The 25,290-nt window shown below is 34.4% G+C and overlaps 1 protein-coding gene and 1 long non-coding RNA gene across 7 annotated transcripts in view; one reads left to right on the top strand and one right to left on the bottom strand.

The window, feature by feature from the left end:
• PCDH9 (protocadherin 9) overlaps positions 1-25,290 on the bottom strand; it is a 927,503-nt gene that overhangs the window by 569,819 nt on the left and 332,394 nt on the right. Inside the window, exon 4 of one of the 6 annotated variants that reach the window (XM_017020620.3) lies at positions 698-24,460. The exons of the other annotated variants lie outside the window; for them this stretch is intronic. Coding sequence (XP_016876109.1) covers positions 24,398-24,460 — 63 coding nt within the window. The 3' untranslated portion in view covers positions 698-24,397. Of the gene's footprint in view, positions 1-697; positions 24,461-25,290 lie in introns of those variants that run through there. 6 annotated transcript variants of the gene reach the window in all.
• Positions 1-25,290, top strand: part of PCDH9-AS2 (PCDH9 antisense RNA 2) — an 89,863-nt gene that overhangs the window by 47,484 nt on the left and 17,089 nt on the right. The window contains exons 3-4 of the long non-coding RNA NR_046527.1: positions 4,192-4,267; positions 13,348-13,424. This is a non-coding gene — a long non-coding RNA (PCDH9 antisense RNA 2). The remainder of the gene's footprint in view (positions 1-4,191; positions 4,268-13,347; positions 13,425-25,290) is intronic.

Raw genomic sequence — 25,290 nt, forward strand, 5'->3', positions numbered from 1 at the left:
GAGAACAATTGAATGCAAAACTAAAAAATCAATATGATATTTTAACACAGGTATCCCATAGGTCAAATTCTGTGGGATTCAACTTGCAAGTCTTTGAAATTAAATAGATGTGCTCAAATATATTGGCTAATTGAATCTCCTCTACTTCTCCCTCTAGTTATATACATACTCAAAGAACGTGCTCTTCTGAAATCAGAAATATTTTTGAGAAACAATACCTGTAAACTTGGATTGTAGTGTCTGAAAGGATGATGGCAACATACACACTGATTAAATATAGAGATGGCCCACACCATTTATCTATGAATGATGATAGGAAGAAGATAGCTTCTTATTTTTAATTTATAAGTCTAAAACTTGAGTTCTAATATCTAACCTCTTAATGTGTATATAGATGCATTTGTAAAAGTTACCTTTAAATATTATAAAGCATTCCTTTTCTCCCATTTATTCTGAAAAACATTACCTTGGCAAGTTAAGCAAAAAAGTAAAGTCAACCTAAGCCATGTCTGAATAAGATCTTATTTTTGTTAGCAATATTCATGCGTCAGTCTACTTTGTTATTTTATGTTATAATTGCCTGCTATGAAATGTCACCCTAATATCTATAAAAACATTTAAAATAAAAATTAAATTATAGGGGGAATGACATTTTTATATATTTAAAATATGCATAAGCTATTTTCTCTCTACTTCATCCTACATTTAAAGTATAAAATCTTAAGCATTCATAGGGGAAGGAATAGTGAATGTCAAACAATCCAATTTATTTTTAAACATGAGAAATGCATTACCAAGGACGAGAAGCTCTTTACTCACCAAGCCAACCTGTTCCATTGTGGGCTTGATATTCTACTGTGGTTCTCCCTCTTTGAAAGATTTGTCTTTCAATACGTCAGGTTTTTCTCCTAATCTCCCTGTACAGGTTCTATTGAATGCTATAAATGTGTTTACTATACTTCCTCAAGATGATCTTTTTAATATTGAAGGACACATAGACAAAACATAGCTCCTCCCACACTCCCACTCCCATCCCCAGCTTCCCAAGCCTTCCTCTTTTCCAGATATACCATATTCCTGGTTGCCACAGGAAATGGGGTCCAGATTGCTTTGCTACAAGTGTTCCTCCTTTGCACACACTACACTCTAGATATGCGTCATTGAAAATTTGGTGCCCAGAATTGAATATAATACTTTATATATGATCTGGCCAATCTAATTTAAGGTCAATCACATCATTACATTTCTTCTTTTTCTTTTCGTTTCTTTTTTTTTTTTTCTTTCTTTCTTTTTTTTTTTTTTATGAGATAGCGTCTCACTGTGTTAGCCAGGCTAGAGAGTGAAGTGGCACAGGCATGGCTCACTGAAGTCTGTGTCTCCCGAACTCAAGTGATCCTCCCACTTCCACCTCCCAAGTAGCTGTGGCTACAGGTGTGTGCCACCATGTCCAGCTGATTTTTGTATTTTTAGTAGGGACAGTATTTCTCCATGAAATTTCTTAATATACATCCTGAGCATTTCTTAATCTGATGTAAGAGAATATTATCATTTTCAGTAGCAATCTAAACTTGCTGGATTATAATAGATTATGACAAACTCAGCCCTGCAAATCTTAACATCATTTTTTCAGCTTTACTGAAAAGCTAGGTCAAAGGCATTTTGTATTTACATTTTTCTTTGGCTCTAACTCATATTGAACATCACATGTAAGACTGTTATTTTTTGTCTTTTTTATTGTAGTCACTTAGAGATCATTTTTACCCTGATTCTGTCATCTGCCTTGTAGATTTTACTTTATACTATGTGCAGATAGGATAAACATACTTCATGGATCTTTACCACAGTCAGTCATTAATTAAAATAAGGCCAGTCTAAACTAGAGGCAGGGCAGCACTGTGCCCCCTAGTAAAATTTAGAACTCCTTTCTCTTGACATAGCTTTCACACAGTAACAATTATATTACAAAACTAAGAGAAGTAAATGAGATAAATGAGGATACGCAGGGAAACATTTAACATAAGATAGGTGCTCAGTAAATACACTTAGCATCATTATTTTGGGCCTGAAACAGTACATAATTCTCATTTAACAAGATAAGACGCATTTCAGCTGGGCATCTGAAGGCTTGAAGGCTTCTCTAAATATCAAATCCTCTGTTAAATTGTTAAAATGTTTCAGACTTAAAAGTCTATTAATTTTTTTTCTCCATCAGAGTTTTTGAGGTAAGGAGGCAGATAATATATTGTGTGTACAAAAGCAGCAGTGTGTGTGTGTGTGTGTGTGTGTGTGTGAGAGAGAGAGAGAGAGAGAGACAGAGAGATATGTAGAAGGGGGAGGGAGGAGGAGATAATGAGAAGTTATCAGAATTTTGGTATCTTTAGGGGAATTGACACTTCATAAATACATGAAATAAAAAAATAACTTCAGGCCACTAACTAACATCTATTGTACCACCTACAGGGTCAGTATCAACATCTCCCCTAAAGGAGCTAGACTTGATTATAAAACTTTTTCAAATATGATGCCAGCGGCATTCAAACAGCAAGATGACTTTGATAATTCAAGTAGCATAATTCAAACACATGGCTCATAAATGAGGGATTACAATACCACAACCCACTGTGTAAAAATCTGGTTACAGAACTCTGTGTGTGTGAAAAATTAATTTCATATTAGATATAGATCCACATGTATCTTCTAACAAATTATTTGGAATATTCAAGCATATGTTATGCTTGTCTTCTTATGCACTGTGGTAGGAAATTGTGCATCCCGCTGTTAGGTAAACATCAACACGTGTGGATTCTCACTGAGTGCACATGATGCCAGACACACAAAGCATACAAAGCACAGAGGTAAAAGGCTGCTTTGAACATTTTTCTTCTTTTCTACACGAGAGAGTTTGGGCAGTTTCCATTCCAATGTCTATTTCAGTGAAAAGAACTGCACTATGTATTTTTAAATGTCAACCAAGGAAAAATTCCCACTTACCATAAGAATCACGTTTTACCCTGACTTTTCTATATAATCCCATATGTTTGTCATCTAGATTCTAAAAAGTAATCTTTCTCTAGTTTATTTATAGTTTACTGCTAACAATTTACAGTTGTTTACAAATGCTAAAGGGTGAAGAGACCCTGGACAACTATTCATACTGGAATGTATAGATTATTAAAGTTGGTAATTTGGGAACTGGAATATATACTTGCCTTTTTCCCTAAATACTGTAAACACATGTTACGTGTCAGGCAGCCTGTCATGTCCTGAAGTCCTACCCTTCTCTTGAAAGACAGCCAATTCCAAATGCCTATGTTTTATAAAACGTTGAGTTTGGACTTTAAATTTAGATACTGCTGACCATCAAAACAATTCATCAAGACATTAAATATCTTCATTGCAAACTCGGCTATCCATCGTGCTATCATATGAATGATAAATGTATTGATAAGTGTCTAGTGGGAATTATCACAATATTTAGTAGTTGATAAAGTTATTCATTAAAATATTGTCATAACTTACTAAAACCAATAGCCAGAGTGGATTAGACTTAGTACTATAAATTACAGTGAATAATATTCATCAAGAATCAGAGAGTAAGAAAGTAAAAAAAAATATTCAATTACTGTGTATCTGTCTTTCTCAGCATAAACATAAGATCATAACTACAGATCAGATATTCAGTTACTGCTGATTAAGAATGAAAGTATGGCATAACAAATAATCTTGAATTAGAAGGAGTAAGGTAAAAAAAAATACAAAACATCATGTTTCACATTGTTAATTCAAATCCGATTTATTGACTCTAAATTAAAATACATATCTCTGCTCTTCAACATGCCAAAAAGACCAATGGAACTTATGTTTTAGTAGAATGAATTTGAGGAAATGCCTGTTTATCCAATGTCAGATATTTGATTTTTGTTTTTGTTTTGTAGACATGATCTTCATGGGCAATTTTAGTTTAAGTACACTGTCTGTAGCCTAATTCATAGTCAAAACTAAAAGTGAATCATGAAAATTATATTATTATGTCAGAGGAATTAATTTTTGAAATCAGTAGAGAAAAGAGGTTTCTAGAGATTAAAATACTTTAAACATCAGCAGGCAAAATGCAACCTTATAGTAAAGAAAATCTGATAGTTTCACAAATACTATTTTATTAATATGGCGATATTTTTCAATGTCCTAAAGTTACATATATCTTTGGAATATTGTCCAGGAAATCAGACAGCTCTCACCACTTGATATTGGATCCCTCTCACATACGGTAAGGGTTTTACAATCTAACTATGAAAATAATACCTATCTCATAGATTTAACTGAGTAGATTAAATACGACAATGTATATGAAAGCTCCTGACAATGTTTGATGTTCAATTTAATCTTTACCAAATTGAAAAAAAATGCATTAACTGAAAGATAGAAAAGTCAGTCTTTTAACCATCAAAAAATATATTTATATTTAAAATAATAAAAGAGACCAGTGTATGCTATTTTTGAAAATTTAGATTTCTATTATTTCTAATACTAGACATGGTCTTCATGGACAATTTTAGGTCAAGGACAGAGTCTGTAGCCTAATTCATAGTCAAAACTAAAAGTAAATTATGAAATATATATGTTATATCAGAGAAATTATTGGAAATAGTATTAGAAATAATAAAGCAAAATTTAAAATATATATATAATGTGACTACCATTGGATTACTTTCTCTCCTAGAAGGTTTAGTGGTTTTTTTTTTTTGTTATTATTTTTTTAAACCTCAAACTTTCAAAGGTTCCCAAAGTGCTTTTAAATTCAAGGAGAATCCTGAGTCATAAGTGGTCAAAGAACTAGAGAATATGAGCTTACATAAGCCTTGGAGTCACCAGATTCAGTTAAACAGGCGTTTAGGGGTTTCCTCTGGGAAAATGTGCCTGCATTCTGCCCATTCTGAGATTCAGAGATTTGTGAAAGCAATCAGATCCTTTTTACTACAATTTTTCCCTCTAGGCATCTTATGGTTAGTTTTATGCTTAAACCAACACCTTAGTCAAGGAACAACATCTTCATTGGACTGTACCTTTCAGGTACACAATGTTTGATGTTCATAGAGGGAAAAAATATTCTTCAACTCCTTAGAACCTACATTTTTTCTTTTCTCTGGTGGGTGGCTCCTGCGAGTTAAAATACCTTATCTGGCACTGTATTCTTTTGAACTCAGTAAAAAATAGGGAACACTTCCTCACTTCAATGACTCCCACCAGCCCTTTCACCTTACTGGGTTCTTAAATTAACTTTTAACTTGCTAAACACAGAACAAAAATTAGAGAAGACAAAACTTTTCATCTAATACTCTCTTTTCCTTGATCAGCATTTGACACCAGTCTTCAATCTAAGAGATTTTTTAAAACTTTCATGAATGTCTTCACAGATAGTGAAAGATACAAAAATAATGACTGAGTTCTAAGGGAGAAAAAAGAAGATGCAGAGCATGAAACAGTGAGATGAGTAAAGGCAATCCAATTCATGAAGAGGTTAAATGTAAGGGCCGTGGGACTAATTTTTTATTATTATTATTTTATTTTTTATTTTTATTTATTTATTTTTTTGAGATGGAGTCTCATTCTGTCGCCCAGGCTGGAGTGTAGGGGCATGATCTCAGCTCACTGCAACCTCTGCCTCCCTGGTTCCAGCGATTCTCCTGCCTCAGCCTCCCGAGCAGCTGGGATTACAGGGGCCCGCCACCACGCCCGGCTAATTATCGTATTTTTAGTAGAGACAGGGTTTCACCTCGTTGGCCAGGCTAGTCTGGAACTCCTGAACTCAGGTGATCAGCCCGCCTTGGACTCCCAAACTGCTGGGATTACAGGCGTGAGGCATAGCGCAGGGCCGGGACTAATTTTTTTAAAAAGAAAAAATCTTGTATTTGGGCCTTGAACACCCGATTTTATCTTTAATGGAGAATGATGTTGGGTACAACGGTGGAGACAGAAAATGAACAACTAAGTTGTAGCATCTTTGGACTTGAAAGTGGAATGTGAAATAGGTGACAAATTATACATGTTAGGACTTAAAATAGACAAAGTGTAAGAGAACTCTATTTATAAACAAAGGTATCTGCAAAGGAAAATCATTGGGGATTTGAGATTAAGGAGGAATCTTGGTGGGCTTAATAAAAAAGCAGAGATCAGAAGGTAAAGGATGTGGTATAGAACAAGCAAGAACACTGGAAAGATAGCTTCAAGTGTTTTGTAAGGGTTCTTTTCTATTGGGCGTCCACTAACTGGGCAGTGCATCACAACCACAGTAAACAATTAAACAAGGAAATGCATGCATCAGTGTGAATAACGTACGATTATGATACACTGTCATTCAGCATAACAAGGAGGAGGTATCACTACAGAAACAGTGAAGCTCTTATGTGTGAAAGGTATGCTTCTCTTATGGAGTAGACAGTCATTTTGGAAAAACACTTAGTAGATTTGCTGTCAGCTCATTTAAAAAGAGTAGAGAGTAGTGCCTTATTCTGGAGTCAAATAAAAAATCTATATATATGCACAATTATTAATTATATTTCTTTTATTTTGAGTTTTGTTATGTAGTAGGAATTCCCACTTTCCAAATACTAGCGGAGGCATTCTCTAGGGTGGCAGAAAAACAAACAAATACAAATCTTAAGCTAATTTTACAACTGGCTACATAATTGCTTTGGCAACAGTCATAGACCAGCCTCTACTCCAAAATGTATTCTTATATTGAAAATAGATGATTAAAAAAAACAATATGCCTAGAATGAGGGAGCCTGGCAGAATAAATATGATTGCTTTCCTTGTAGTCCCCAGTGGTTGGCTGCCATTTTTTTTCTTCTGTAAGATGGACATACACACACATCATTACAGATGACATGATAGCTTTGGAAAAGAAACTAATGCACTTCCAAATATCAAATAGCAATTTAGGATTAATTATGTATAAATAGCACAAATATGAAAGAAGTACATTTCCTCACCTTGTTCATGTTAAAAATAACCTCAACTAAAAGATATCTTTGACAAAAAATGGCTCTACTTATTTTGTCCAGATGTAGAGATATGAAAAAAAATGAAAGGAAATCTCAAAAACGCATTTGTAAGACAACACAACAAATGTCTAATTGAATGAAAAATCATTGCAATTAAATGTACAATAGGTTGAAAAATTCCTAACACAATAAAATTAAAAAGCAGAACAGGAAATGAAATAAGACATCCTTTAGACATTACTGACACATTTAAATAATTTTAGTAACTTGGCTTGAAGACAAGAAAAAAAAACAGTTTATTACAAATGAATGCAAACAAATCCTGGAACCAACACACAAACAGAAGGAATATAAGCAAATCCAAAAAATGCTCCAGGGTACAGGACAAGAAAGAAGATGTTTTTATGGAAGGAAGAATAGCTGCAAAGCACTCAACTCAATGCATAGCTGCAGTGAATAGAACAAACAAGAGGCTGGCTGCATTGTGCTATTGAAGTACAAAAGAATAAATCAAAGTAAGTGGAATAATGATAAAACACTGCTTGGATTCATAGTACTTACTATATAACTAGCACTTTGTTAGGAAGCTATGGTGAGGGCATTACTTTTGATATCCATGAGACACTAAACACAGCTGCCTAAAAAGCCCCTGGGTACAATCATCCTATGAAGTTCAAGCGTAAGACATCATCATTTGTGAATAGCAACAACTTCAAAATAGATGAGAATTGATGAGGGATGAGACAAGTGCCTTTCAAATGGGATGGTCTATTCTTAGTAATTAAAAACAGGCAATCATTAGCAGAAAGATTCTGAAACTTTGTTGGTTTACAGAAAAATAGTAGAAAAACAAATAATTACATTTCTGGATAGGAAAACCAGCTTACATTTAAAGAAAAAAAATCTGATTTTATTCAAGTATCTTTCCCAGCCTCTATCAATTAATATTTTCTAGTCTCAATATGAATAATCTTAATTGACTTAAACTATCTCAAGGTCTGACTCCCTTCTTAGGTCTATGCAAGAAAAAGGGATTCTTAGCTGCAACATGAGAAGAATTAACTCACAGTGTATTTCATTGACATGATATAAATAAGGCATAGAATGGGCACTAGGATCAAGGAACATATTAGGTTATTTCCTTTAACTTGTCATAATAATTCAAAAAATTAACTAGAGAGCAATTGCTTATTGCTAGAAAATTTCTGATAATATTGAGTGTGATGTTGTGGTAACAATTGCAGGTTCTACAGTCACAATTCAAATCCCAACTCCAATCCTGTTGTATGACCTTGAGCAAATTACTACACCTTTTACACCTCAGTGATCTCCTGGGTAAAAAATGAAAGGTGTTAATACATTTTGAGTTTTCAATGAGATAATTCAATAATTCATGCAAAGTATTTCAGATATACCTGACAATAATAGGTTGTCAGCTAGTAGTAGTTAGACAGCCATCTATGTAATAGTGATCTACTAAATGCAGTTAACTGAACTATTAGTGAAATATTATAACTTGCAGTTTTGATTTATGAGTTAGGGAAGTGTTTTATATTAGTGTTAGTCCGTTTTCATGCTGCTAATAAACACATACCCAAGACTGGGCAATTTACAAAAGAAAGAGGTTTAACTGGACTCACAGTTTCATGTGGCTGGGGAGGTCTCACAATCATGGCAGAAGGCAAGGAGGAGCAAGTCACATCTTACATGGATGGCGGCAGTCAAAGACAGAGCTTGTGAAGGGCAACTCCCACTTTTTAAAACCATCAGATCTTGTAAGACCCATTCATTATCAAGAGAACAGCACAGGAAAGACTCACCCTCATAATTCAATAATCTCCCACTGGGTCCCTCCCACAACACATGGGAATTATGGGAGCTACAAGATGAGATTTGGTTGGGGATGCCAAGCCAAATCATATCATTCAATAAGGGATATATAATAATATATGATTCTGAAGCATATTACTTGAAGATATTTCACAAAATAAAATAACAAAATCATTTACAATGGGTTATTTTACAAGGTGTGGGAAAATAATATGTTTTCTAGAATTCTATTTCTGAAACTCCAGAATTATTTCCAATGCCTTCTATAAATATCTAATTTGTGTATATTCTTGAATTCATAACCATAGAAATGGGACAAAGAAATAAAACAGTGTGTATATGGAATTTGGGGAAGGAAATATCTCTAGTGTTATAGGGAGGTAGAACAGGAGAACTTTACAGGTTTATCTAAGATAACCTTAAGCAACACTTTAAAAATACATGACCTGTTCTTAATTTAGTAGTGACATTATTTTATGTATAAACTATTAAATCTGAGTATAACACAATCCTCTCTTTAAAGTAAATTTACACTTGTGTAAATGTAACTTACTATTGTATTGAATACTTGGGCTAGAGAGCCAAGCCGCTAAATTAAAAAACAAGTTGTGTTCTATTTTTGTGGAACACTGGTGTCTCAGAAGTTCTCTTTGTGGTAATGTCATCATTTCTGAAACTAACATTTATCTCATGTGCCATGGAGAAACTCTGGTTAACATTTTCAAAAACCTAAAAATATTCTACTGTTGGTCTAAATTGAAATGCTTGATTGTCATAATGTGCCTTTTATGTCCTTAATGAACTTCTCCTCCATAAATAATATTTATTTGTGATGTCAGAATCCTGCCTCTTCCTCTCCAATGCCAGGCAAATGATGCAACAAAACTTTATGCCACAGTTTTGCTCCTGCTTTCTCCTTCCAGCTTAACTTAATGGTTCCTCTCTACCTTTCCAAATTTTCTTCCTCCATCAAAACTTGGCTCTGTTTTTTCCATTTTTTTATTTTGTTGCCTTCTTGTTCCTGTACTCTAAATTGATTGTATTTATACTTTAATTCCATTCAATATAGCATATAGTTGCCCTCCAAATGTCATATATGTAAGTATAATTTACCCTCAATCAGACTATCACTTTGATAAATTTAATACAAATTTAATTTTGTATGCCATCAAAACATACTCACAAAGCAGCCACTCAATGGCAATGTGTTCACTGGTTTAAATCCAAGGTATCAGCAACTACTTTTTTACTATGACACAAGTTAATGGGAAAGAAGTCCCTTTATAGGAGGATGTTTACAAATATATAAATCTCATGAAACAAAACTGTCATCCACAAAATACCTCAGTGCATAAGGTCTATCAGCCCACATTATCTTAATTGAAGATAAATAATACTGACCTCGTGAAGTCCTCCACATTTCTTCCTTTTTATGATGTCACAATTCACAAACTCACAACTTCACACTATCTAGAGAATGACTTTCAAAGTCTTTATCATGACATTCAGTGTCCTTCAGTGTCCAGATAAAATTAAATACTTTTTCTCATTTTTCTCATCTTTTATTTTCAACACATGCTGCACACATTCAGTCAAACCAGGGTTCTTCACCACCCCTTGAAGCCCTGGACAAACTTTGATTTATGTTTTTCCCTCTGCCTAGAAATCCCTTTATATATATCTACATCACCTCTAAGGCTCTGATCAAATGCTACCTACGAATGTTCAATTATTTCTAGAGGTGAAAATAATAATTTAACTCCTTTTTAAACCTTGAACACAGCTGTGAGTTACATAGAGACTAAGGCTGGGTTTTAACTCATTTTTCATTATGCTTACAGTGTCACAGGTGTGTTGCCAGATATATAATCAGCACTAATGTGTGTGTGTGTGTGCATTTGTTTGTTTGAAAGAATGTGTCCCATTTTCAGGTATCCAATGAATGTAGAATACCTCTGTCTCCCTTTCTCTAACAAAAACAGCCATATTTCATTTGCTGACTGAAGATATTCTAACTCAGCCTTTCTCACATTGTGTTCCATGGACTACCAGTCCCATTAAACACCCCTTGAAATAATGGTTCTAAGCACAACCATTTCTTTAATGAGGGAATGTTCCTTTTATGAGAGAGTAATAAAATGCATTAGTTTATTAAAGGAGTTAAAAAAAGGCCTTCAAGAAAGAAACCTGGGGTTTTTAATATTTGCCTTTGTTACACTATGATATAGTGGCTGTGTTAGGATTTTGTGTTTGTGTTTGCTTGTTTGTCGCTGCTGCTTTTCCACAGAACACCTTCTCATTGGACATTGTTTGAGAAGTGCTCACTCTTCTCCTGTACACAACTGCATGCTTACACCTTAGCTCCTTCATTTCTAACCTGTTGTCTGTTGTTCCCTTCATCTTGAGCGTTCATTTTTTTTTTTTTTTTTTTTTTGAGTCCAAGTCTCACTCTGTTGCCCAGGCTGGAGTGCAGTGGCACGATCTTGGCTCACTGAAACCTCTGCCTCCCAGGTTCAAGCGATTCTCCTGCCTCAGCCTCCTGAGTAGCTGGCACTACAGGCACACACCCTGCCCAGTTAATTTTTGTATTTTTAGTAGAGATGGTTTCACTGTGTTGGCCAGGCTGGTCTTGAACTCATGACCTCAAGTGATCCGCCTGCCTCTGTCTCCCAAAGTGCTGGGATTACAGGCATGAGCCACCGTGCCTGGCCACTTTAAGCGTTCTTGCTTTTAATTTCCCACCTACTGAATTTCTGGTCATTATTTAAGATAGTTCTTAAAATTCATCCACTACTGGTTCTTCAACTTGGCCTCTATCAGAATCCAATTGTTTCTGTGTATTCCCATAGCATCTGCAATATAGTAATTAGCACATCGCTGTTAGGAATTTTAACTTTGTCTCTGATTCTTAATTTGTGTGAGTGTAATGTCCTGCACTCACCAAGCCATCCAAAGTCTTTGCAGTATTGAAAGAATCTTGTGAGTTAGGCTGATTTTCTGTAGACGTATGTTGAGAGACTGAGTTGGTGGTGGTGATGTTCATTTTGAAGGAGCAGAAGGTAAAAGGAAAAATAGCATAAGAAAAGGATTCCAAAGCAAGACTGGCTTTCCTACATTATAATATTTTTATTAGCTAACATACTGACAGTTGGTCAGACCATAAATGATTCTGTGGACTGACCAAGTTTGCAGCATTTTAAGGTATTCAAATAGAAGAGATACCTTTGAGGAAGAAGAAAAGGAAAGAAAGAAGATATGCCAAATGAATCTAATTGATTTAAGTTTTATCTTCTTTTTCATCTCCCAAAACATTACTGCATGAAAGAGAAATTTTCTTTACGATAAATTTAGGGAACTACAAAAAAATGACAAGTTACATTCTATGTCTCTCAAAAATATTTTAAAGCATTTATATTCTTATATTCTATTACTGCCTATCTCAGTAAGTCTTTACTGCCTGAATATTATTTCTGGTTTACAAATTCATATCAGCAATAAAATTGATTAAAATTTCTCTCTCCTGATAGTGTACTCCCTGTACCACAATATACCCTGAATTTTTCCATCCTCTGCCCCTCACTTTTGCTATCTCATTTGCCTAGACGGTACTACTCCCATGATATTTTTTTTCCTGATTAAGCTCTAATCTTCTGATGCTCTCCTAGTACTCTCTGATGTTCTGCTCAAATTACACAATTTCCTTGAGACACTCCTTGATATATCAGCCTGAATCTATCTCAACTTCTACTCTTCTTCCAACTTTTTGCCCTGTTAGAGCATACAGTTCAAAATGGGTGGCAATGAAGATGTATGTGTAGGATCTGTCTCAAGCTCTAGAAAACATGAGTGTAGGAGTTAGGAATTCAATAAATATGTATCTCTAAAATGCCTAGGAAAATATATATGTGTAGCAGTAGATAAGCAATATGCTAGTACATGTATGTTAAATTGAAGATTAAAACAATATACTTAATTAGCTGGGTTATTCTGTATTAAATGTACTTAGTTTTGAGCCATGATGATATAAAACAATAATTTATATTATAGAATATTTTTAAGATTTTGAATTCTTTATGAGAAAGAGAGAAAGAGTTCAAGTAACAATTGGGATTATGCATTTATATTGCCAAACTAGCTAATGTTCCAATTCACTAGCTGATGTTACTGAATTCTAAGATGCTTTTAGTTTAATAAAGGCCTTTTAGTCTCCTACTTGGTAAAACTTAATTTCTCCTCTATATTTATTTTGAAACTTATAAGAATAAAACTTGAAGTAGAATGGAAGAATTGTAATACCACTGATAGTAAATGGAGATCTCTGCTGGGCTCCAAATACCTTAGACCCAGAAATAGCTTATACTTCTTCTCACGAAACTGTTTTCTTTATCTAAAAACTAATTTGTATTTAAGGATATCTCTGCTAGATTTTTCCTCCGTGTTTTCCATATGTTTCATGCTCTACCCCATAGGATCCTCTGGTATTTTAATAAAATGCCATTTTTTTTCTCATTAGTGAAGTGTCCTCAGCAGGAAAAGCTTTAACCATGGATCGATTTTCACACCACGTTTCAATGGAGAACATGAACTCAGGTACAGTGATCACAACTGACCTTCTTACTGTTTTTGTTCTGTTAATTCATTTGCCTTTGTTGGGCCATTAAACTTATAAAAGGGAATTCTCTGTTTGGCTCTTTTTTAAAGGGCAAAGAGGTCACTAAGCTCAATCTCTGATCTGTGTTTTTCAGAGTATAACTGGCCAATTTCCAAAAGGTTTAGCTCACCCTGAGGGGTTGCAGAAAAGGAAGAGAACATTGGGTGAAAGAAACACCCCTTCTCTATTTACCTTCCAACCTCCCGCGCAAAACAAGCAGAGTTAAAATCAGAAAGGGGGCTGTGAGCATGAGTCTAGGCTACATAGGTGTTCCTCAGTGTCTGCAGCTGCAGCTTCTACTTTGAGCTTGCTGGAACTTGATTCTAAGTGGCTTTGAAAAGCCACTGAGGAGTTTGTGTTAGCCAGAGGCCACGAAAGCTGCCATCCACAGCTGAGTGATTCTCTGTTCAAACTGGGCATAAGCCCAATTTGAACAGAGAATCTGTTTTCTTCCTTCCAGCTCGAAAGGGTACATTTCTGTATACTCCCTCATTTGCAGGGGTGAACTTGGAACAATAATATTCATCTATGAAAGAAATCATAATGTTAATTATTATAACTAGGTATCAGTAAACAGCTAAGTAGCAGTGTGATATGGATGTGTGTGGGTATCTGAAGAAGCAGGCATTCTAGCCCCTTCTTTAAAAGAAAGATGTTTTTCAAAATTATTTAACATTCAGGAGCTAAATTCTCCAAATTATAAAGTGACAACAAACTATCTGAATATTCTACAATTCATGCACTCTGAGATACATATACTTTTGTGATAGAATTGCTGTGTTTTTTTAACACAGCCTTGAGGTAACTGAATACTCCCCGATCTCATTATTTCTTTTAACCTTTCTCTATTCTATTGTGTTCTCTCTCTCTCTAATTCACCCACCAACAAATATAATAACACACACACACACACACACACACACACACACACACACACACACCCTGTATTTCTAGACAATTCATTAAATTATTCCAGAAAATCTTCTAGCAATGCCTTTTTTTTTTTCTGGATTTGCAATTTTGGCACCGCATCACCAAGTTCACATCCTGGACCATGCCTTCTATTAGTGAATGTCTGGGCAGTCTCCCAATAAAGCTGAGCAGCTTCAGTATCATTAGTGGGATGATGGTATTTCAGTTCCTCTTCCTTTCATTCCTCTTTAGTTTACTATCAGTGCCACTGAGCTTAATGAACCAAAACGCCTGCTCATGCATTAAAAACGGAGACGTGCATTCTGCCCTAGAAAAAAAAAATGCTACGTTCTATTTTCTACAGCAGAGATTTTTTTTAACAAACAAAGTAGGAAAGGAAACACAAGTATATTTGTATAATGTGGAGATGTTAGTAAAGGCATTTTGAAATTTTCAAACAAAGAATGAACTAATTTGCAACTATAGAGTGCCCTCATAAACAGCATGCACTTGTAACAATATGAAATCACGGAAAGTACTATCACTACTAGCTGCTGCTATACGTAAGCACTAGCTATGTTAGTATTAATGCGCTAATTACTAATATACATTCAGAAGTGAATATTATGTAAGAAATATGTTATAGAATATTGCTGAGATCTTCCATTCATATCTTTATTTCACACCATCTCTGGTATTGTAAATAAACTAGGCACTAATTTAGAAGTTAAAGCATACTCATATTGATAAAGCTACTTAAAAAAACCTGATTGCAAAATGTTAATGTCATTTTTCCACATAACAAGGATATCTAAAAAAGTCTATTGTTACAAACCTAAAAGTCATAATATTGCTTTTAAATCAAGGGATGATCATATGTATAATGTGGATGATAAAGGTACATTGTTATATAGGTAGTTTTCTGAAATTCTATCCACATATTTTCTAGTTTTTGAAAAGTCACTCTATGATATATCAAATTACTGTGACATGGTTTTACTGAACTCAGCTTGCAAACACCTCTGGCTATTATGCTAATTAATTTTACTCACTTGCATCTCAGTGAGAGTGAAATGGGAAATTGGCTAATCAAAATTGCCATTCTCATCAACTATATGTTCCCCAAGATTAGCTCTGCTGCACACTCAAAAAAATGGACCACCAGCCAGGTCCAGTGGCTCGTGCCTATGATAGCAGCTCTTTGAGAGGCCGAGCTGGGAGGATCACTTGAGCCCAGGAATTCAAGACCAGCCTGGGAAACATAGTGAGGCTTCATCTCTGCAAAAAATTTAAAAAATAAAAATTAGCTGGGTGTGGTGGAACAAACTTGCAGTCCCAGCTACTCGGGAGGCTGAGGTGGGAGGATTGCTTGAGCCTGCACCAAGGAAGTAGAGGCTGCAGTGAGCCATGATCACGTCACTGCACTCCAGCCTGGGTGACAGAAAAAAATAAAATATAAATAAAAAAATAAAAAATAAATATCAGCCTGTCCCCAAAAAAAATAAATAAAAAAAAGAAAATTTTAAAAAGAGGAAAGAAAATGGGCAGGTAAATCACAGAAAAGTGATTTTTGAAGAGAAAGATGGGCCTTAGAAGAGTAGACATTTTTAATATCAGCTGAGGCAAAGGGCAGAAAAGGCAGGGTTCAGAAAAAGGAGGCAGAGAACAGGAAAGACAATCTGAAAGTATCATGCAATTTTACTTCATTCTTTTAGTAAACAAATTTTTATCTGCCTTTCTCTACAAAGAAATGCACTGCACAGAGCTTGTGAGCTTTCCCAACATTCAGAAGCTCTTAAAAGCAGTCAGGGCTCCTCTTTACAGAAGCTGTGATTTTCCTACAATAATTTTCTATAATTGTGCCAAAGAGCTAAAAATAAAAATGACATAAGAAGTTTTGCCATAGTGAGATTCACAAGCTCAATTGTAGAACTTAGTCATCATATTCAACTTTCAGGAAGATAGATCCAGGTTAGGAAATTCACTGTGCTGATTGCCTTCCTCCTGCCTGTGCGGTTGAGATGTAAAGTCTATGGTCTGGTTATCAATAACTGCTAGGAACTTTGGCCATAAGCGAGTAGATAGCTGTAAAGTACTATCGTATTGAGAAAGTAAATGTGGTAAGAACTGTAACAGGCTGAGGTTTATTGAGAAAGTCCTGATTACTGTGTAGACTGGGTACCTCTGATCCGAGGCCAAAGCCACACGAAGCAGTTATAGAATTTATTGGGTCTTATTTAAACTAAACATATATCTGGCTTTCTCCATTTTATTTCTCTTCAACATGTGGAAGAACATAATTTTTTTGGTTTAGCACGAAACTTCTATCTGTTTCATTCTTTAAGTCATTCGTCACATATCTCAAGGTCACGAGCAAGCTTCAGAGGGAAAGTATTTGTGTTAATTGATTGCTTCCATGATTCTTATGCCTATGGGTGCTGGTAAATGAGCTTTTTGTATTTTCAATGAAGTGACTCAAGTGGAGGAGAAACACTTATGATTCCTGTTAATAAGATACATAAAGCATACTGTCCCCTGGAGATCTTGGTTCCCTGCTCCCAACTCCTTGTCACTTACTCCATGGTGAAAATGAGAACTTTGCCCTCCGATTGCTACTACCAGGAGAGTAAACACTCTCTGGTTCTAGAATTAAAATGAAGCATTCAGCAGTATAGAGCCAAAATACAGAACCTCTCTTTTCTCTTTCTGCCACTGTACTATTGCATTTTGAGAAAGAGGCACAATTCAATAAAGCAAAATTCACTCCTGCTGAGATGTTTTTTACCTGACTATGTACATCGCTTTTTGGCGAAAAAATAGGACAATTCCTTCAATTCTGTGAAGCCATGGGGATGATGAGTTTGGGGATAGCATTTGGATATATTGGTGTATTGATTTTAATCAAATACATTACTCTGGGTAACAGCTTCTTGCTCTTCTTAACAATTCAGTAAACAAAAAGATATGCAAGCAAACCCATTTTATTATCTATAGCAACGATGGTCTCTGTTTTGTATTTCTTAGCAGAGCCCGGGTATCTGGCAATATATTAGGTTTGTAAATTATCATGTCACTAATGAAAGATATTAGATGTTCTCTACATGGAAAAGAAAAAATTCATTCTCTAGGGTGATAATCTTACTTTTCTCTTCCTGCATAGCATCATTATTCTACTGCTCTTGTTCTCTGACAATAATGACATCTTTCCTAGCTACACTTTTTAAAATGTCAGGTTTATTGGGTTATCATTTGCATATAGTAAAATTCAACCTTTTAGGAGTAATTCTATGAGTTCTGAAAAACACATGTAGTCATGGAACCTGACTAAGACACTCTTAACCTTCTGCTTAGCTTGACTAAACTTTAGACAAACTTCTTCCTAACTGTAGACTTCTGAACTTTTTTTTTTTTTTTTTTTTTTGGTTAAGGCATTTACTCTAGAAAACTTGCAATTGTAAATTCTTTCTCTGCTCTTTTGGGAGGTTGCTGATTGCCACTTTTACAAATGAGGATGGTCTTTCTCAAGTACCTGGAAGTCATCCCTTTGAAATGAATTCATCAAGAAAGATAGCACCCCTATCTCCTAGTCTTAGTGGGAAGGCAAGAGCCGAACTTTGATAAAAAGGCAATTAGCAAACTCAAATGGCCTAATCACATCGACCAATCTATCACCTAATAGCCTCCAATATTTTTCCACTAGTTTAAGAGCTTAAAAACTCTCCTGCCTTTTGTTTCGATTGAGCTCAGTTCCACCTCTCTCATCTATTGCAGTAGCCTTGAATAAAATCTTCCTTGTCTGTTTAACTCTGTCAGTGTAATTTTTCTTTGATAGACCACCACTACAATCAAGTTATAGAACATTTATATTGCCTCAAAAACTTCCTCTGTGCCCCTTTGTACTTAATGTCTTCCTTCAATCCCCAGTTCCTGGCAACCACCTATCTGATTTCTGTCCCTATCACTTTGCCTTTTCCAGAATGTCGCAGAAATAAAATCATGCAGCATATAGCCTTCTGTGTCTGCTTGTTTTTTTCTCTTCCACTTAGCACGATAGTGTTGAGGTTCATCCATGGTATTGCCTGTGTCAGTGGTTTCTTTTTACTGCTGCATAGTATTATATTGCAAACTACCACCATTTGTTTATGTATTTTTCCAATCCATATCTTGAATATAAATTTGGCTGTCCTTATTGTATCAATATTTGTCTTATTTAAGATATTACTATCATATTATGTTCTCTAAATACATTCAGAATCAAGATTGGGCTCACCAAAATGGTTCTTGCTTTTTCCTTTCCATGGCCTCAGCGGAAATGCTTCCTATATAACTAGGCGGATAAATGAATGAACAAACCAACCACCACTTTAGAAAAAATATTAAACATCCTGTGAAATTTTGGAAAAAATGCATGCCTACAAATTGCTTAAAACTAAATAGTAATATAAGATTTGCTGAAATTGTATCCTAGCTGTTTATTTTAGATAGATGTTATGTCCTAAATACCTATTGAGTCAAAACTGACATAATTTAGCCAGAAAGAGCATTTAAAAGTAGCTTGGCTTCCAGGGATAAATATGGAAATAATTATACAGCAATAGAATAGTATTAGACTATGAGATCAGTTTCAAAAAGTATAAACAGCTTCCCCAACGTATGCTTTTTAAAAAACACCATTTCTGAATGTGGATTAAATTCACATATTTAGTATATTTTAAATGAGTGAACTTCATTATTTTATAATTCACTATAAACTCTACATGTATTCCATTTTTTTTTTGTTTTGTTTTATGTTTTGGTTTGCTTTTTGTATCATCTTTAGACTCCAGCACTGACTGGAATTATTTGAGAGAATGTGAGTCCTGGATATCAGGGCCCTTCACCTTCTGTAGCTAGAAAACAGACTCTAAAACAGTTTGTGCTGGCATTCCTCTCACTTTTATTCCAATTTGAAGTTGGAAATAAATGATGTGGCCTATTAAAACTTGAAATATTATAATAAAGTATCAATTAAAGAATTTTTTTCCTCTCCTCTGATATTACCCTATGAATCTAACTAGCTAGTTTTTAATAAAAGTGGCCACTGTGAATCTACTTACATTACGTGTGTGTGTGTGTATACTCCTCATTGTGTGTGTGTATATATATGTGTTATGTGTGTGTATATATATAATATATATATATAATGTGTGTGTGTATATATATATACACACACACGTAATGTAAGTAGATTATATATATAAGTAGTTACCTTTATCAAGTATACTTTAAACCATATAAAATGTACGTTTAATATGTTACAATTAATAGAATGTCCATAATAAGATGTCCATTTTATGCAAAATTCAAGCTTTTATACATTACCTAACAATGAAACTGGAGTGGCCTGACATCCAAAATTTAGCTACATGTGTGTCATTCTTCACTATAGAGCAGTATTTGTGCAATCATTTCAACATATCACAGCATTTGGGCTTTGCTACGTTGTAAAGTGTTTAGAAACCAGAAAAATTATGTTTATCTTATTTTTTAAATATTGGCATGAATGGAAAAAAGTAAGATATCATACTTGTAATAAGACATGTAAGTCCCTTAAAAAAAAGATATTTTATAAAGGGAAACAATACCAAAATCAGGAAGGCTTTAGGCTGTGTAAGAAAGTCTTTGGGCTTCTGCTATTTGAATGAATATTCATTTGAAAATAATATGCTGGGCATATATTATTGAAGATTATATCTAAAATACAAGGTAGAAGCAGGGACTTCAAAAAATACCTTTACGTCTTTCATAACAAGTATGCAGATAATATGTACACATACAAGCACACCTTTGATATCATATATTTATGTCTTTTTAAATTTCTGATTTGCATGTTGTTTAAAAATGGAGGATTAACTGTACTTAAATTTTAAGAATCTTGATTATAATATTAGAAAATCTGTTTAATCACATAGGATCATGCGTGACCTAGGCCAGTATTCTCCAAAATAAGTTGTATGGAATATGTGTTCTTTGAGTATCATTTATAATCAAATAATTTTACAAGTGAGTGGGTTAAACAAATGTAAATAAGATTAATTAACTTTAAGTTTGTTAAATGCATGTTTATGTAAATCTGATTGTGAATCACCAGTTGAATGCATGGAGGATGAACCTTCTCAACTTCATTTAGTCCGGACAAATAATCCATGAAACATATATCAATAAATTCTGATTTAGGATTGGGATTTGCTCTAACAGAAGAGGTAACTGATTAAGTAAAACAGTATTGTATCACACTGTGAATCAGAGGGCTAGTCTCCAATCCTGGGTCTGCTGCCATTTTTGTCAGAAGCCTTAGATTAGTGGCTAAGAGCACAGCTTATCTGGGGTTTAATCCAACACAGCCCTTTATCTGCTAAATGACTATACAGGTCATCTCTTGATGCCTTCACTTATTCAACCATAAATAAGAAGCCATAGGAGATTTTACCTTTAGTTTAATCAATACAATCAAAGTGTTTTAAAGAAATATATGATAAATAAGAAGTGGTACATAAGTATGAGCTATTTTTTTGTCAGTGGTTTTCAAACTTTGGACCTTGACTTACAATAATCAACCTACACTGAGATGCAATAAAAACACATGTGCACGCAATAACATATACAACTAAAATAAAAGTTTAACTGAAATAATATTTAACTATGCTATATGAGATGCACTCTAATATAACCTAATATGTTTTATTCTCTTCTAATTTTTCACGTTGCCATTGTTTCCTCATGCTATTCCATTCTAACCTATTTTTTTCTATTCTATACAACCTATTCTATTCTACTCTCTTACATTCCATTAAAAATTGTCCTCATCCTCAGGTTGCAAGACATTAATTTCACTGTATGACTTGCCGATCATCATTTAAACTGTGTCTTTAGTCCTTCCGTTCAATTCCCTCATAAAATCCATTAGTTATTTCATAAAATTTAAAAACAAAATTCTAATATTCAATTTCAAACTCGATGTCTGACCTGTGGCATATGGATCTCCTGATGGTTTTGGCCCCAGAATCTCTCTTTCTCTCTCATGCATAAGATTCTGTAGACATCAAATGATCTAAGTTTATTCTAATTCCAAAATTGAAGAAATAAATGACATTTAAAGAGAAGCTCGTTGCTTACTTCATTCTTTTTAACGACTTAATCTGTATTTAATATATGCACCATACACCTACATTCTGACATAAATACACTGTCTGAACTATCTAAAGAAAAAAAAAATTCAAATAATTTTTCCTTAACAATTAGAGTGATTATATTATGCTTCCTATTTGTAAATAAGCTTTTAACATTTTTAAACTCAAAATTATATAAAATTGAAGTATAAGCTAAAATCAAGTCAACCCTGAGATTATATAGGTTATGTTAGCTGCATAATTTTTTTTATTTCATGGACATAAATAAGTGTATCAGGCAATTTAAATAGGTATAACATTCTTCTGCTATATCCAGACTTTTAGATACTACAGAGCCAATGATAAGACTAACTATAACTGAACCTCCATTTCTCCCAGAATTTGGTGAAACACCAAACAATATCTCACAGCCTCTGATGTTATTATTACATGTGACCATAGAGCATGATAATATTACTAATATTTTATAAACTAATAAATATCCATTGCAAACATCCAAAAGTCTATTTTAAGTTTAAAATATCACTCACTGTTAGGATTTGTAAAACCTCTAATATATACATATACTTAAAACTGTCTCATAAAATATTAAGTATTTTTTTTTTTTTAGTCAAGGTCTTGCCCTGTTGCCCAGGCTGGAGTGCAGTGGCACGATCTCAGCTTACTGCAACCTCCGACTCCTGGGTTCAAGTGATTCTAGTGCCTCAGCCTCCCAAGTAGCTGGGATTACAGGCATGTACCACCATGCCTGATGAATTTTTCTATTTTTAGTAGAGACAGGGTTTCACCATGTTGGCCAGGCAGGTCTCAAACTCCTGACCTCAAGTGATCTGCCCGCCTTGGCCTCCCAAAGTGCTGAGATTACAGGTATGAGCCACCACGCCCGGCCAATATTAGGTATCTTATATTAAAAGATTATTTACAGTCCGTATTTTGAAATTAGAATAGGTATTTTATAATACGAACTGTTTATGTGAAAATATTTATTTAATTTGATTTGTCAATGTGTACTTCTAACCATAGGTACTTTCCATTAGATTTCCAGTTTATGTGGATAGTAGTTAAAATGGGATCTCACAGTTTTCAATCTTCAAGGACTGAAAAAGAATTTCATTCATTATTAACTCAACATAAGCACACTTTTCTAAAAAGGAATAGTAACTTTATATTTTTAGCTTTGCCATGTCTACACCCTTCTCACATATATGTGGATGACTGTCACTCCTCTCAGGGTGTCTCCAATATCCTGAGATTTTTAGCATCGCAATATATTATTCATGACCATGTTCTCTGCAAATGTTCAAATACAAGGCTTTCTGGCCAGCTTTCGCATTAGTATCTGTGCACATGTGCAGAAACTTCTGAAAACTCCACACACCTACATTAATTGAATAAGCAAATGCTTGAGCAGCATTATTTACGAGAACATGCAACTTCAATGGATTTTAAAAGAACTTGCAAGGCAGCTGTATTTTCCTCTCACTCTCACAGTCTGATATTATTTATTATCATTTCATGTGTGGGTTCCACACTCATCCAACAGATATTGATTTACACCTGTTTTGTACTCTACATTTTCGTTGTTTTGTTATATCTTTAGGATCCTTCAGTGGAAGATACTATGGTTGTCATTTATCTGAAAGGCTCATCCCCCCTCTCTTTGTGCATCATTTTCTACATGAACAGCTGCATCACAGCTGTCAGGCTGAATGGTAAAGATATCTTTGGCCGATAAGCCTATGCCTGTGGCACACGGAGTGGCTTCAAACAACTAATTAGCAGGAGCTGGGCCACAGCAAGGTTTGGTGCTGTCCATCAAGCCTGCGACCAACACTGACACCATCAGCAAATCTGTCAAATGCGGCTCTTCCTGTGAACAAAACCAAGCCCATTTGTTTTGTGGTGAAGAAAGAATTGGCAGAATGTGTTTAATAAAAAGTTAAAGAAGGTGATGATCAATCTTTATAGAGTGTTAAGTAATTGAAAAAAATACTGAACTGGTGGAAAATCTGATAACTGATTTATACACGGGAACTCAACTAAAAATGTCTCCATGAATTTACAATGAAGTAATTCATAAGGCCACTCACATTGCTCAAGTACATTTGTTTAGCCTCGGGAAAACACCACAAATGTATGCTGTTTTTAATAATAAGTGACTTACAAAAATAATAATAATAACAAACCTGCACATTCTGCACATGTATCCCAGAACTTCAAGTATAATTTAAAAAATAATAATAAGAGGCTATTATATGTAAAATTGGATATTAACATTTACATACATATGCAACCATATGCCAGATTTACATAATTATAAAATTGTTATGTATAATAATTTCTATAAAAATCAAAATCTATTTGTACAAATGTATCTGTAAATATGCATATCTGCATTTACAATTAAGTATTTAAAAGTTTTAAAGCTGAGTCCGTTGAACACAAATTGAAAAACATTATGTAGTCATGTTTCTTAATAACTAAAAATGTGTTTAGATACTATACTAAGAATATAAAATTTAATAGCCACTGCAGTTTTGCATTTTGAACCAGGTCTTAGATCGGAGCCAGGAAAGAGGTCTGCATTGAGGAGACAAAGAACCAGTGGAACTTTCCTTAAAATTTGGATGTCCTCTCCTGACACCTGGCCTTCACGCAGGCTGTATATTTAAGTAAAATTCTCATTTTTCTACCAACACACACCAACACATCACTCCTGATCATTCACTTTGTAAACTCCTTCAAGTCTTATTTATAACAACATACTTTTTATGTGCTATGTTAAATTGCTCTTATGATGTGCTCTTCTTGCATCTTGAGTATCTCTTGTTTTAGCACTGCTTACACTTTATGGTAACATGTTGATATGAGTATACTCCCTTGGACTGTAATATCTGAAACACAAAGAACCATGTTTGTATACACAAATGATGTACTTGGCATGCATAACGTTGCCTCTGGTATACTTGCTGGATAAATATTTATGGAAGGAAGAAAAGAAGGGAGGGAGGGAAGAAAGGAAAGGAGGGAGGGAAGAAAGGAAGAGAGGGAGGGAAGAAAGGAGAGACAGATTAATATATGACTCATAGACTGGTTTCAGCATAATTATGAAAAAAGAGAGGTTGGATAACTTGTTTCCCCTCTAAAGAAGTCTCAACTTTGTGTTTGTGAGCAAAAAACAGAGGAAGGGATGTCTAGTACCCTATCCATGTTTACTTGACTTAAGGAACATATTGATGGCCCCATTTAAAAAATGAAATCAATTCACATCAGAAAGCAGAGACATGTAGTAGAGGGTTGATCAAATATGCCTGTTTTCATATTTGCCTACATCCCTCTTAAAATTAACACAAAATTTTCTCAAGCATAAGTTCAATAGTCTGAAATAAACCAACATTCATGTTTCTAGAAAATTGTATTATACATAGGCATTAGACATGAGTGTATGTAGTGTTTCTATACTACTGCAGTATAAGTTCTTTAAATTCTTGGTAATTTGTTACAAATTTACATATGCTTATTTAGCAAGTAATAGGAGCCTGTCAAATATTTTAATGATTTTTTTGAAAATTTATCTCTATATAACACACATTTCACATAACAGATCTATATTAAGTGCAAAGATTCCTAAATGCTATTTGGAATTGTAGCCAGAAATTGTCCTGTGATTTGTTAGAAATTATTTTCCAGGTCAATCTTACCTAAAATGGCATAAGATGTTTGA

This window comes from Homo sapiens, chromosome 13 (genome assembly GCF_000001405.40).
Source record: "Homo sapiens chromosome 13, GRCh38.p14 Primary Assembly".
NCBI lineage: Eukaryota > Metazoa > Chordata > Mammalia > Primates > Hominidae > Homo > Homo sapiens.